General features: G+C 37.2%; 1 long non-coding RNA gene and 1 pseudogene across 2 annotated transcripts; one reads left to right on the top strand and one right to left on the bottom strand.

Annotated features, from left to right (window-relative positions):
- Positions 1-4115: 4115 nt before the first annotated feature.
- Positions 4116-10452, bottom strand: LOC102724491 (uncharacterized). Of its 2 annotated transcripts, none has more exons than XR_430542.4 (3): positions 10407-10452; positions 5444-5585; positions 4116-4263 (listed from the first exon to the last, which is right to left on the bottom strand). It is a non-coding gene; the product is annotated as an uncharacterized LOC102724491 (long non-coding RNA). The 2 variants fall into 2 exon arrangements; XR_430541.4 differs by having other exon boundaries at positions 4116-4250.
- On the top strand, positions 4608-4900 carry RN7SL93P (RNA, 7SL, cytoplasmic 93, pseudogene; annotated as a pseudogene).
- Positions 10453-13907: the final 3455 nt, after the last annotated feature.

Genomic DNA, 13907 nt, shown 5'->3' with positions numbered 1-13907 from the left:
CTTGCGGCCTTTGCCCTTTCTGAGGAGGACCTTTTGCACTCTTAGCTAAGGCTGCTGCTAGGAACTTAGCCTGCTATTTCATCTCCTGCAGTTTCATTTCTGCTTTTGTTGTTCCTTAGTCTGCTCTCAACTTAGAAAGACTTTGTATGGCACATAAATCAAATGAGATACTGGCAACATTAGATTGCCCTCCAAATTTTGCAATTCATATTGAATGTTGGGCATCCTCTCTCCTATGAAAGTCATATTAATTAACCTGGAATTCTCAGGACTGTCTGGATATATATCTGTATATTTCTGATAAGCCTCCAAAATCCTTTCCAAAAATGCTAATGGGTTCTCATTCACTCCTTGTCTAATTTCCTAAATCTTGTCTAACCTTTTGGTTTTGTGGACCCCCTTTCTGAGCCCCACCAGAACAATCCCCGAAATGTTGGATCTCACTTTCATCACAATCATTTGGATTCCATTTGGGGTCATGGAGAGGCATTGCCATATTGGCATCAGTCCTCACTTGGTTATTAGGATCTTCTGCATGCAACCGGTCAGCCTCCTCCCAAGCCTTTTCTAGTACTCTGATGTTCTTCAGATTTCAACAAGACTCTAAGGAGGCTCTGAGCATCAGCCCATGTGGGGTGATGAGTAGTGAAAATAGACTCAAAAAGGCAAGTTATACTTTTTGGGTCATCCCTGTAAGCTGGGTTGTTCTGCTTCCAATTATATAAGTCAGACGTAGTGAATGGTCAGCATATCCACATCATTCCAGCAGGCTGTTCTTCAGTTAAACCCCAAATAGGGATCTGCCTTAGAAGAAATTTTCCTGCAAGGAGTAGGGGTGAACCTTGGCTAAATTGTGTTCCTTGACAGGTATGAGAGGGTGAGACCATTCCCCTGGAGTTCTCAGATATCTTCTTGACGAAATGAGAGAACAAAAGATAAAGGGAGGGAGGATCCGGTGGAACTAGGGTAGGGGTCCCAGGTTCATGATGAAGAGGACTAGCAAAAGTCAGGAAAGGGTTTTTCAGAGGTTCAGAAGTCTCAGGGGTTGGAGCTGTTGGAGAGGCAGAAGCTGACTCCAGGGCAGCTGGCAGAGGTCGGAGATGGTGGGATTGGGGTTTCAGAAGTTATAGCAGCTCAGGCTTCCTCATCTAAGGGAGAGTTTTCTTCTGCTGGTAAATATGATAACCTTAGTGCAAAGTGCAGACTCACCACCTTTCTTAAAAGTCTCTGTCCATTGTATCAAAATTTTACATTTGATTAGGTTTGCTCTGATAAAGAAACATAAAAGCCTAGACACAAGGAATTTCATCCCTCTTTCCCATTCAACAGCAAAATTAATCTAGTTTTAAGATCGCATTAAAATATAAAGACCCATTGAGGAGCCATACTTCTCCAGATTACAAAGAATATAGGGGCCAAACTGTACTATCAAAAATATCATTTTATTTTGTTCCATTGGATTATAACTATATTCAGACCAATTTTGAAGAATGCACCAGAGTGGGCTGCATTCTGGGACTGAATTTTAATTTCCCATGACTATATCAACACACACACACAAACAGAGGGACAGAGAGAGAGAGAGAGACACATGCACACACTTATCAAAATGCAATCTAGGTACTCAAATATAATCTAACTGCTGCAGTAGCAACTAAGAAGCCCCAAGAGTGTTCATTATCCTCTCAGCTGGTTGGGCTTTTTCAACCTGGAAATGGAAATTCCTTCAGAAGTCCTCAAATTGAGTGGAGCACATCCCATGTCTGGTAGGCACAAAAGACACTCACCCATTTAGACACAGATGTCTAATTTCAAAGACTGTTTCTCCTACACAATCAGGAAAATGGTAGGGATTTGAAGTGGCAGGGCCAAAGAGATAGAGACCAAACCCCACCTCTGGCCAAAAATGGGTAGGCAGCTGCTTAGGAACTCTCTGGGCCTGTGACAGCTGAGCCACGAGCAATGCGATTTTGATCAGGGAACGAAAATCTGTTACTGAAACACCAGAGGTTCGGTCTAGATCCTGCTGCTCGCTGCACAGAAAGCCATTCACTAAGGCAACGAATGTTTCCAAGGAAGAAGGCTTTAATCAGGTGCTGTAGCTGAGGAGATGGGAGATCAGTCTTAAATCAATCTCCCTGACTAAAATTAAGGGTTTATATAGCAAGGAAGAAATGTAACTATATGTGTGAAAATAGGAAATAGGGAGGGGTAAAGTGAGAGGAGTTGGTCAACAAGAAGCAAGTCTTCTTGGTTTCTTGGTTAGGAAAACAGGAATTAATGAGGAGTAAGGAAGCAATCATGACAGATGAGGGGTCTGTCATCTCATTGTCTAGATGCGGTGATCTGGTAAGTTTCAGTTCTTTGATACTTTTTGAGAGGTCTGAGGGTCCTTTCCTGAGGAAGGAACTTAGATAAAAGAAATGTAAGTTTCAAGCTTTAAGACCTGAGGGTTTGGGGGATAGCCAATTCAAAGGCCTTGATCCCCTTAATTTGGAACTCTCCTTCAGATTTAACCAAGTCAAGAGGTGTGTCTTGTGGACATACATTCTCAGGGCCATTATCCCATGAGCCGGTTTGGTCCCGCTGTATTATGGCCCCCTGACACAGCACATCAGAGGTTCAAAGTGTGGAGGGGGTTGGTACCTTATATGTACCTGCCAGCTGAGATTAGACCATAAGTACGCTTTTCAGAGGGGCAACCTAGTCAGAGCTGCTGTGCATCACTGGGAGCATTCCTCCCAGATACCTGCATGTGATTCTCAGTAACCTGGGAATGCCCTGAAAGGCTGAGGGGAGCAAGGGCTTTTTCTCTTTGGAGTGGAAATTCCACACTCATACACTAGAGGAGTTTAGAGTTGGTCAAATCCAATGGGAGAAGAGACCAAAACAACAGCAAAAACAACCAAAAAAAAAAAAAAAATCAAGTAAGCAATTGCAAGATTTATACAATGAATGAGCACTCTAATTGTAAGAAGTTAAGACCAGCTGGTTGTCAACCTTATATTTTAATCATTAAAGAGAATTTTTAAGATAAAATCTCAACTCAGCTATTTACCTAGGAGTGGGGCCCAGGCTGCAGATTGCTCTCTACCATTTTAGAAGCAGGAAGAAAGCACTTTCCTTATTGGAAGTGAGCAGAACTCCAGGAAGTAGTTAGCTGCTCCCCATCATCATGAAAGCAGGAAAAACTTGCCTCTCTTGTGGGAAGAAAGCAGAACTCCATAAATGAGCTGTACAGCAAAATAAGCCTTAAATCTCACCCAAAATTTGGGAGATCAGGTGTTCTCCGGAGCTGGGTAGCTTCCAGACCTCAGCAAATTTCCTTATTGGTTTGAGTGATAAAAATAGCCCAACCAGTACCAGCCACGGATAGGAGATTTGCCACAGGTTAAGGGCCACCTCCATTCAGAATTCCTCCTGTAGTGGCCAATTTGTAAACCCAAAAGTATCTGCAACAGGTTTCAATCAATTTCAAGGTTTATTTTGCCAAGGTTGAGGATGGGCTCAGGGAAAAGAAACACAAAACCCACAGGGACATCTGTGATTTGTGCTTTTTATTTCAAAGGGGGCTTGGGGACTCCAGTATTTCAAGGGGAAAGGGTGGGCAGTAGGAGAACCAAGAAAGAAACAAAATGTTGGGGTAGGGTAGATAAAGCTGCAGGTGGTTCCATTCTTCTGAGGCTTTCATCAGTGTTCACTGAATCTACATTTTATATGTAAAAGGAGGGGATAGAAGAACAGTCAATTATGCACTGGCCTGTGCTCAGTGAATCTGCATTAATACGCATTTGTCTCAGTTGGGTGGAGTATGGCTTCTGGTCTTGCCTTTATTTATTTGTTTTTATTTTATTTTATTTTATTTTATTTTATTTTATTTTATTTTATTTATTTATTTATTTATTTATTTATTTATTTATTTATTTATTTATTTTGAGATGGAGTCTTGCTCTGTCACCCAGGCTGGAGTGCAGTGGTGCGATCTCAGCTCACTGCAACCTTCGCCTCCCAGGTTCAAGCGATTCTCCTGCCTCAGCCTCTCAAGTAGCTGGGATCACAGGGGCGTACCGCCACGCCTAGCTAATTTTTGTGTTTTCAGTAGAGACGGGGTTTCACAATGTTGGCCAGGCTGGTCTCAAATGGCAGCACATATACTAAAATCTGTTCTTGTCTTTATCCGTTATGGTGGCAGCACATATACTAAATCTGCTCCTGTCTTTATCCGTGATGGTCTTGTCTTTGTCCCGTACCTGTGAAGATAAGCTGTTAATTACCTTGTCAGCATGAAATTCAACAGAACTGTTTTAGGGTAAATATCTTGCGACCTATGAGGAAGTTCCTTGTGAGCAAATTGTGAGGGAGGCTTCCTGGGGAAGTATGTGGCCTTTAATTTTTGTAGGAATAAAAATGGGAGACAATTTTCTATGACTCAATTCCCAAGCTTGACTTTTCCCTTTGGCTTAGTGTGTTTGGGGTCCCAAGATTTTATTTTCCTTTCATAATCCCAAATTCATATACTGATCTCCTAACCCCTATACGGGGGAAGGAAAACATTCCCTTCACTCTCTGAAGATTCACTGAAATATCAACTGACAAAAGGCAGATTAGCCAGGTACAGTGGGCATGCTTATAGTCCCAGCTACTCCAGAGACCAAGGCAGGAGAATCACTTGTGTCCAGTAACAGGCTGTAGTGCACTATGCTGATAGAGTGTCCACACTGTTTGCCATCAATATCGTAATTGCCAGGGAGTAGGGGACCATCAAGTCACCTAGGGAGGGATGAACTGGCCCAGGTTGTAAGTGGAGCAGATGAAAACTCCCTTGCTAATCAGTGGTGAGATGGTACCCATGAATAGCCACTGTAATTGAGCCTGGGGAACATAGTGAGACCGTGTCTTTATAAATAAAATTTTTAGAAAGGCATATTAATAGGAAGGAAGGCATACAAATTTATTAACATGTACATGGAAGAATCACAAAGTAATTACACCAACTCTGCAATGGGATACAGAAGCTTAAACACCATCTTGAGGTTAGAGAAAAAAATAGGGGCTCAGAACAGTTATGTTGGTAAATCAGGTGATGGTGGCAAGACAGGTTATGGGAAGGGGAGAAGAAGAGGTCTGGCTAGCAAAGGTGGTCTTGTTATGTAGATGAAACCTCACTGTTAGCAGCCCTCAGGGAGAATACGTTTTACATGTTTTTTTCAGACCTTTAAAAGTGTCAGGATCTCAGTTAATCTATCCTAGATCCGGACAAAGAAAGGTCTGCCTGCATCAATGCAGAAATGCAACTAGACTTAAATGCTAAATGGTCACACTTGTTCCATCATAGACCTAACTTCTAATTCAGTAATAGAGTCCTTTCCATAGGCAAGTAGTAGTAAATTTATACAAAGGCCATCCATAGCTTTTAAGGTGGAGCTACAAAGTAGATACTTACATGATACAATTGTTTTTTAAGAGTCTAACGTTGATTCAGCTCTGAAATCCTCATGTTTGTTCTTAAGCGTGAAGTGGGCCATAATGCAGCACTCATAAAGAATTCTGACCTGTTGCAATGGATGTCATCTTGAGGAATGCAACTATGAAAAAAGTGCATCATCATCATAAGATATTGCCTATTATGACTAAAGTGCAATTCCATTTCTCACTGTTTCTTAAAGGGGACCATATTAAAATTTTGAGTGTGACAAGTCTTTGTTATGTGGGACTTTTTGGTGTCTCTGACTAATAGTCACTAGTTGCTAATATGGTATCCCAGTCATTGGACAATGAAAAATATCACCCATATGTGCAGGATAATACTCTTCTTTGAAAATTACTGTTGCAGCAATAGCCAAGAGTAATGGTATTTAAATGGCATTGTTTTCATGGGTAACTACTAAAAATTATAGAGAAATATACACAGTTTCAAACAGTGTACATTTAGTCTGTCAACTCCTGGCCACATAGTAAAGCCCTTCATAAGTAACCAAGAGCTTGAGATTTTTATATCATTGTACCTTTCATGCAGCTGAGAGAGGCATTATTGGTATAAGTAACTCCCCAAAGATCCCAAGAAGTGTTTCTGTGACACTTGTGCTTTTTACATTTTACATTTGAATATCTGTCTTAGAGTAATTTAAATGTAATTTGAAGTACAACAATGGCCCTATCAAAGATCATTCTCAGGCCAAGTTTCCTTGGATTAAGCAAGCTTTAATGAATGCTATTTTCTTGTACTCCATTTAACCAGTGGTAAACTTGGAACAGCTCAATAAACTACTGAAAGGGCAAGAGATGCAGAACCTAAGCTGAAAAATCTGTTTGCTATAGGCAAGATAGTGTTTCTTTCATGTTGCTCCAAATGCCAAGGTATTCAGACTCTGGAATAGACAGATTTTTAAAACCCTAATTTTTAAATCTGCAGGCATCACTTGAAAAATATAATGACCATTCCCACTGCTAATTATTTAGGAAATTAGTATTATAAAATGTGAGATTGGAACACCTCACTCAGAGACCAAACCTGAGAGTTACTCTTGGGTTACATTCAAAGATACTAAATTGAAATTTCCTTGGAAAAGACACAAACTGAAATAAATCTGAGAATGGCGATCTTTCTAACTTTCTGTGATCCTCCATGTCAGACCCATCTGGTCTGAAGAATGCTGACTGTGTAACAACTGTATTTGTAATATGTATCATTCAAACTTCAGTAGACTATGATAAACATTCTGTAACTGTCTATATCATTTGAAATAGAAGTATCTAGTATGCCACAGGGCCTTGCAATAAAATTAGCCTTGCTGGCTAATATCCAGAGAGGAAGAATAAATGTGTATGCGTACTGCGGGGAGGGAGCGAAATGAGAACTATCACTACCAAAATTCTCATGGAATTATATTTCCCAAAGACATGCTATCTATGGAGGCAGCAAAACCTTTCTGAAAAATAAAAATTAAATGAGGCTATACTTTTGATATAACAGACAGTTTTGTTTATATCCCCAAATATTCAACTATTGAAATGTTCCCTTCACACTGTGCAAAGATGATTTATTAGAAGAATGTATTACTATATTGTAGAAGACATAATGTTCTGCAGCTATGAACAAAAAGTCAAAGCTGTCAAAGGTCCTAATAAAAGTAGCTTTACAAAAACCTCTCCTTCTGAAAAGCAATCGGAACATTGGAAAAAATCATCAAAACAAACCTTTCTAAAACTCTGGAAATTAATCAAAGGCTTGCAACATTGCAAGGAGTATTTCTCCAAGAAAAACAGCTAAACTTCTGTAAGAACTGCAATCTCTGTGATGTGTTAGCTCGCTCTATTACTATTCTTCACTCCCTAGATTTGTGAGAGTCTTGAAATCAACAGCCTCACTACTGCAGTAGTCATGAAAACTTGCATTTTAGCAACCACTAGAGGAAGCAGAAACAGGCATGTTCTTCCACAAAACCCATTCCCTGAGAAATGTGACTATTTGAAATGTCTGGAAACTCCCTAAATAGCTCTATTCTCAGGGTTGTCTTTAATGGACCTGAATCAGAGCTCACTCTGTACAAATAAGCCTATACCTAAAAAATTTTCTCACAAAAAGTGGTAGTTGTTTAACACTGCAGCTACCTGAAGCAATTAACAAGAGGTTGACTAAAAACTTAAAAGGAAAAACTGGTGAATGAGACATTCATAACAATCTTTGAAAATGTCAACATATTTCTGAGAATCTAGAAGGCCACACAGGTGTGCAAGGCTGTAGGCTCAAGAAAGTCCTCAGAATGCCCTATTTGCTCAAGTCTAACTAATCTTTTTCTTTTCTTTTCTTTCTTTCTTTCTTTCTTTTCTTTTTTTTTTTTTTTTGAGACAGAGTCTTGCACTGTTGCTCAGGCTGGAGTGCAGTGGCACGGTCTTGGCTCACTGCAACCTCAGCCTCCCAGGTTCAAGTGATTCTCCTGCCTCAGCCTCCTGAGTAGCTGGGATTACAGGTACCCACCACCACACCCAGCTAATTTAAGTCTGACTAATCTTAAGCCTCTGAAGAAGTTGAAAGTAAGGATAACAGAGTTGTTAATTACAGGAATATTTGAGGCATGTCTAAAAACTATACCAAATCCTTGGCAGTGGCTGGGAGAATTACTGGTTCATGGCATTTAAGGACACCTCTGTCTTGCTAATCACTAACCTAACCAAGGAGACACTTTAGTGGCTACATATGTCAAAGAAAACAGACTTTACAGTATCAGTCCAAGAAAGTCAGCAAACGAGGAACAATAACAATATAAACAACAACAACAAAACAGCTAACAGCAAGACCAACAAACCCTGGGAGAAGAAGTTCTGATTTCAAGATTTACAATGTTATATTAAAATGTCAAGTATTTTAAAGAAAAAGTAGACATACAAAGAAACAGGAATGAATGGCCCATACAAAGAAAAAAAAAAAAGAAAGTCAATAGAAAATGTCATGGTGGAAGCCAAGATGTCAGATTTATTATATAAAGATTTTAAATAGGCAATTATAAATATGTTCAAGTAACTAAAAAACATCTTGTCTAAAAAAATAAAGGAGTGTATGGCAATGATTTCTCACTAAAGAGAGAGTGTCAACAAAGAGATAGACATTATTTTTTAAAAGCACCAAATAGTAACTCAGTAGTTTAAAAATCACAATAACTGAAATGAGAAATTCACTAGAGGAGTTCTATAGCAGATTGCAACTGTCAAGGAAACAATAAGAAAATTTGAATATAGTTCATTGTGATTATAGTAAAGAACAGAAAGAAGAAATAATAAAGAAAATTAATGTAGTCTCAAAGATATGTGAGACACTGAAGTCCCTGAGGGAGAAGAGAAAGCTTCGAAGAACAGAAAGAATATTTGAAGACATAATTTCTAAAGGCTAACACAATTTGATGAAAAAACATGAATTTGCACATTCAAATAGCAAAACAATCTTCCAGTAGGATAATCTCAAAGTAGTCTACACCCAGACACATCATAGACAAAGTGCCAAAACACAAAGAGAATCTTGAAAGCAGTAAAAGAATTGTAGCTCTACATACAAGGTATTTTTTAATAGCAGTAACAGCTAACTTCTTATCGGAAATGTGGAGGGCAGAAGGCAGTAGGATGACATATGTATCATGCTGAAGTGAAAAAAGCAACCCATTAACCAAGAATTCTATCTCTAGCAAACTGTTTCAAAAATGGAGATATTAGGACGTGCCAAGATTTTAAAAATAACAAAAAATAACTGACATAATGAGTAGACCTTTCCTATAAGAAATACCAAAAGGAGTCCTTCACTCTAAAAAAAATTTTCACTAGACAAAAACTCAAATCCACATGAAGAAATAAAGAACACTAATAAAGGTAACTGCATAAGATGAATATAAAATACAGGATCAGTATATTTCTGTTTGTAACTATTTTCTTCTCCTATCTGACTTAAAAGACAACTACATAAAACAATAATTATAAAACTATTAGTAGGCTTCCAAGGTACAATATAGTTTCTATGTCAATAAATCATAATACAAAGAAGGGTGAAAAAAACAAAGTTGGATTAGAGCTACACTTTTGGATACTGATCAAAGTAAGTTGGTATTAATCTAAACAAGTTCTTTTTAAGATATGATATTAACTGTCATCACAAGGAGGACCATTAAGAAAATAACTAAAAGAATGGTAAAAGAAATAAAAAGGAAGTTAAAATGGTACACTTGAAAATGTCTATTTTATACAAAACAAGGCTATCCCATAAACATAAATATATACAATTAATAAATTTTCAGTTGATAGTAAAATAAAATTTTTAAAAATGCCAAAAATCCTAAGGCAATAACACAGAAATAGAGGAAACAAAAAGAGATAAGACATGTGGAAAACAAATAGCAAAATGGATACTTCAAAGGTACAGAGTAACAGAATGCATAAAATATAAATCAGGATCATACTGTAGGCTATCTACTAGAGACACACTTTAGATTTAAAAAGACATATGAATGTAAAGCAAAAGGATGGAAAATATATATAATGCAACAGTAACCAAAACAGAGCTGGAGTAACTATATTACTATTGAACAAAATAGACTGTAGTGCAAAGAATATTTCTAGAGAAAAAGAAAGATATTCTATAACGTTAAAAAGATGAATCCATTAGAAAACCATAACAATTACAAATATACATGTAGGTAGCAACAAAGCCCAAAATACATGAAGCAAAATCTGTCTGAATTGAAGGGAAAATAATGTTGGCAATTGAACAATAATTATTGGAGACTTCAACAGCTTCTTTCAATAATGAAAAGAACAACTAGACACAAGATTAACAAGGAAAAAATAAGATTTGGACAACACTATAAATAAACTAGACCAAACACATATATAGAATACTACACTCAAAACAGCAAAATACATACGATTCTCAAGCCCTTGTATAACTTCATCCTGAATAACACTTATGCTAGGCCATAAAACAAGTCTCAGCAAATTTAAAAGTATTGAAATAATGCAAAGTATGTTCTCTAGCTAAAATAGAATGAAATTTAGAAATCAACAACAGAAGGACATTTGGGAAATTCACAAGTATGTGAAAATTAAACAACACACTCCTAAATAACCAACGGGAAAGCAAGAAATCACAGGAAATTAGGAAATAATTTGAGTAGAAGGAAATGAAAACATAGCATACTATGCACACAGCTAAAGCAGTGCTTACAGTGAAATCTGTAGCTATTAAATGCCTATATTAAAAAAGCGAGCTCTCATATCAATTAACACTTCACCTTAAAAAATTAGGAAAAGAAGAACATGCTAAATACAAAACAAGCAAAAGGAAGTAAGTGAAAAGATTAGAACAGAAAAACAAAAGTTAAGAGTAGAAAAAAGAGAAATCAGTGTAACTGCAAGTTGATTCTTTGAAAAGATAAAGGAAATTAAAAACTAACATGTAAAAGGCAACTCAAATTACTAAAATGAGGAATGTAAGAGAAGATGTCATTAGTAACATGACAGAAAAAAATTATAATAAAAGAATACTAGGAACAATTATACACCAAAAAATTAGATACCCTGGATAAAATGGATACATTTTCAGAAAGATGCGAACTTCTGAAACTGATTCAGAAAGAAATAAAAAATCTGAATAGGCTTATAAGAAGTAAAGAGATGGAATTAGTAACAAAAACACTTCTCACAAAAAAAATCCAGGTCCAGCTGGCTTCACTGATGAATTTGAGCAAACATTACCAAAAAGAATGAACAGAAATCCTCACATGTTTTTATAAGTAATAGAGGAAAAAGAACCCTTTCTAACTCATTCTATGTGGCCAATATTACTCTGATACCAAAACCAGAAAAAATATCACAAGAAAAGTACAGGCTAATATACCTTAAGGCTGTAAATGCAAATATAGTCAACAAAATACTAGCAACCAAATCAGGCAACATATAAAAAGGATTATATATCATGACTCAGTGAGATTTATTCCAGGAATTTGGGATTGACTAAAATCAAACAGTGTTGTACAACCATATTGATACAATAAAGGACAAAAACTACATACTGTTTTTCAGAAGACACCAAAAAGGCCTGTGAAAAATTTAATGACATTTCATAATAAAAATACTCAACAAATAAGTCGTAAAAGGAAACCTCCTCAACCTTATAAAGGCTATCTACAAATAACCTATCATTAAATTGTGAATGATTAAAAAGAAATAAAGATGTTGTTCTCACTAGCAACTAGGTAAGTCTTTGCTATTGTGAATAATGCCGCAATAAACATGTGTACATGTGTCTTTATAGTAGCATGATTTAGAATCCTCTGGGTATATACCCAGTAATGGGATCGCTGGGTCAAATGGTATTTCTAGTTCTAGATCCTTGAGGAATTGCCACACTGTCTTCCACAATGGTTGAACTAATTTACTCTCCCACCAGCAGTGTAAAAGCGTTCCTATTTCTCCACATCCTCTCCAGCATCTGTTGTTCGCTGACTTTTTAATGATCGCCATTCTAACTGGCATGAGATGGTATCTCATTGTGGTTTTGATTTGCATTTCTCTGATGACCAGTGATGATGAGCATTTTTTCATGTGCCTGTTGGTTGCATACATGTCTTCTTTTGAGAAGTGTCTGTTCATATCCTTTGCCCACTTTTTGATGGGGTTGTTTGTTTTTTTCTTGTAAATTTGTTTAAATTCTTTGTAGATTCTGGATATTAGCTCTTTGTCAGATGGGTAGGTTGCAAAAATGTTCTCCCATTCTGTAGGTTGCCTGTTCACTCTGATGGTAGTTTCTTTTGCTGTGCAGAAGCTCTTTAGTTTAATTAGATCCCATTTGTCTATTTTGGCTTTTGTTGCCATTGCTTTTGGTGTTTTAGTCACAAAGTCCTTGCCCATGCCTATGTTCTGAATGGTATTGCCTAGGTTTTCTTCTAGGGTTTTTATGGTTTTAGGTCTAACATTTAAGTCTTTAATCCATCTTGAATTAATTTTTGTATAAGGTGTGAGGAAGGGATCCAGTTTCAGCTTTCTACATATGGCTAGCCAGTTTTCCCAGCACCATTTATTAAATAGGGAATCCTTTCCCCATTTCTTGTTTTTGTCAGGTTTGTCAAAGATCAGATGGTTGTAGATGTGTGGTGTTATTTCTCAGGGCTCTGTTCTGTACCATTAATCTATATATCTACTTTGGTACCAGTACCTTGCTGTTTTGGTTACTGTAGCCTTGTAGTATAGTTGGAAGTCAGGTAGCATGATGCCTCCAGCTTTGTTCTTTTGGCTTAGGATTGTCTTGGCAATGCAGGCTCTTTTTTGGTTCCATATGAAGTTTAAAGTAGTTTTTTCCATTTCTATGAAGAAAGTCATTGGTAGCTTCACGGGGATGGCATTGAATCTATAAAGTACCTTGGGCAGTATGGCCATTTTCATGATATTGATTCTTCGTATCCATGAGCATGGAATGTTCTTCCATTTGTGTCCTCTTTTATTTCTTTGAGCAGTGGTTTGTAGTTCTTGAAGAGGTCCTTCACATCCCTTCTAAGTTGGATTCCTAGGTATTTTATTTTCTTTGTAGTAATTGTAAATGGGAGTTCACTCATGATTTGGCTCTCTGTTTGTTTGTTGTTGGTGTATAGGAATGCTTGTGAGTTTTGCGCATTGATTTTGTATCCTGAGACTTTGCTGAAGTTGCTTATCAGCTTAAGGAGATTTGGGGCTGAGACGATGGGGTTTTCTAGATATACAATTATGTCATCTGCAAACAGGGACAATTTGACTTCCTCTTTTCCTAATTGAATACCCTTTATTTCTTTTTCCTGCCTGATTGCCCTGGCCAGAACTTCCAACACTATATTGAACAGGAATGTGAGAGAGGGCATCCTTGTCTTGTGCCGGTTTTGAAAGAAAATGTAAGTGAAAATCTTCCTGGAATTTGGCAATGGATTCTTAGAAATGACACCAAAAGTATAAGTAACAAAAGAAAAAAAATGATAAGTTAGAGTTTATCAAAATCAAAAACTTTTATGCTTCAAAGGACCCCATCAAAAATGTGAAAAGACCACCCACAGAATGGGAGAAAATGTTTGTCAGTTATATATTTGATAAGGGATCTGTATCCAGAATATATAGTAAACTCTTACAAATCAAAAACAAAAAGGCAGATGACCTGATTTACAAATGGTCAAGGTTTTGCTAACTGCAAATGGAGTCTAGCTGCAAATAGAGTGCAGCTCACATGTGTTAGGCCATATTTTCTAAGGTCTCAGTTCTCAGCTAACTGTTTATGTTCGAAGCCCAAATGGACGATTAAAAGAGATAGTAAAAAAGGAAAACAAAAGCAGCCATGGGAATGGTGCCAAAAGTTGGAAAAATGTGGGAGGGTAAATTGATGGGAAGAGTAAAGTCGACTTCTAGAT

Source organism: Homo sapiens, chromosome X (assembly GCF_000001405.40).
Source record: "Homo sapiens chromosome X, GRCh38.p14 Primary Assembly".
Classification (NCBI taxonomy): Eukaryota; Metazoa; Chordata; class Mammalia; order Primates; family Hominidae; genus Homo; species Homo sapiens.
The sequence above is the reverse complement of the archived record's forward strand: the minus strand, read 5'-3'. Positions and strand labels throughout refer to the sequence as shown.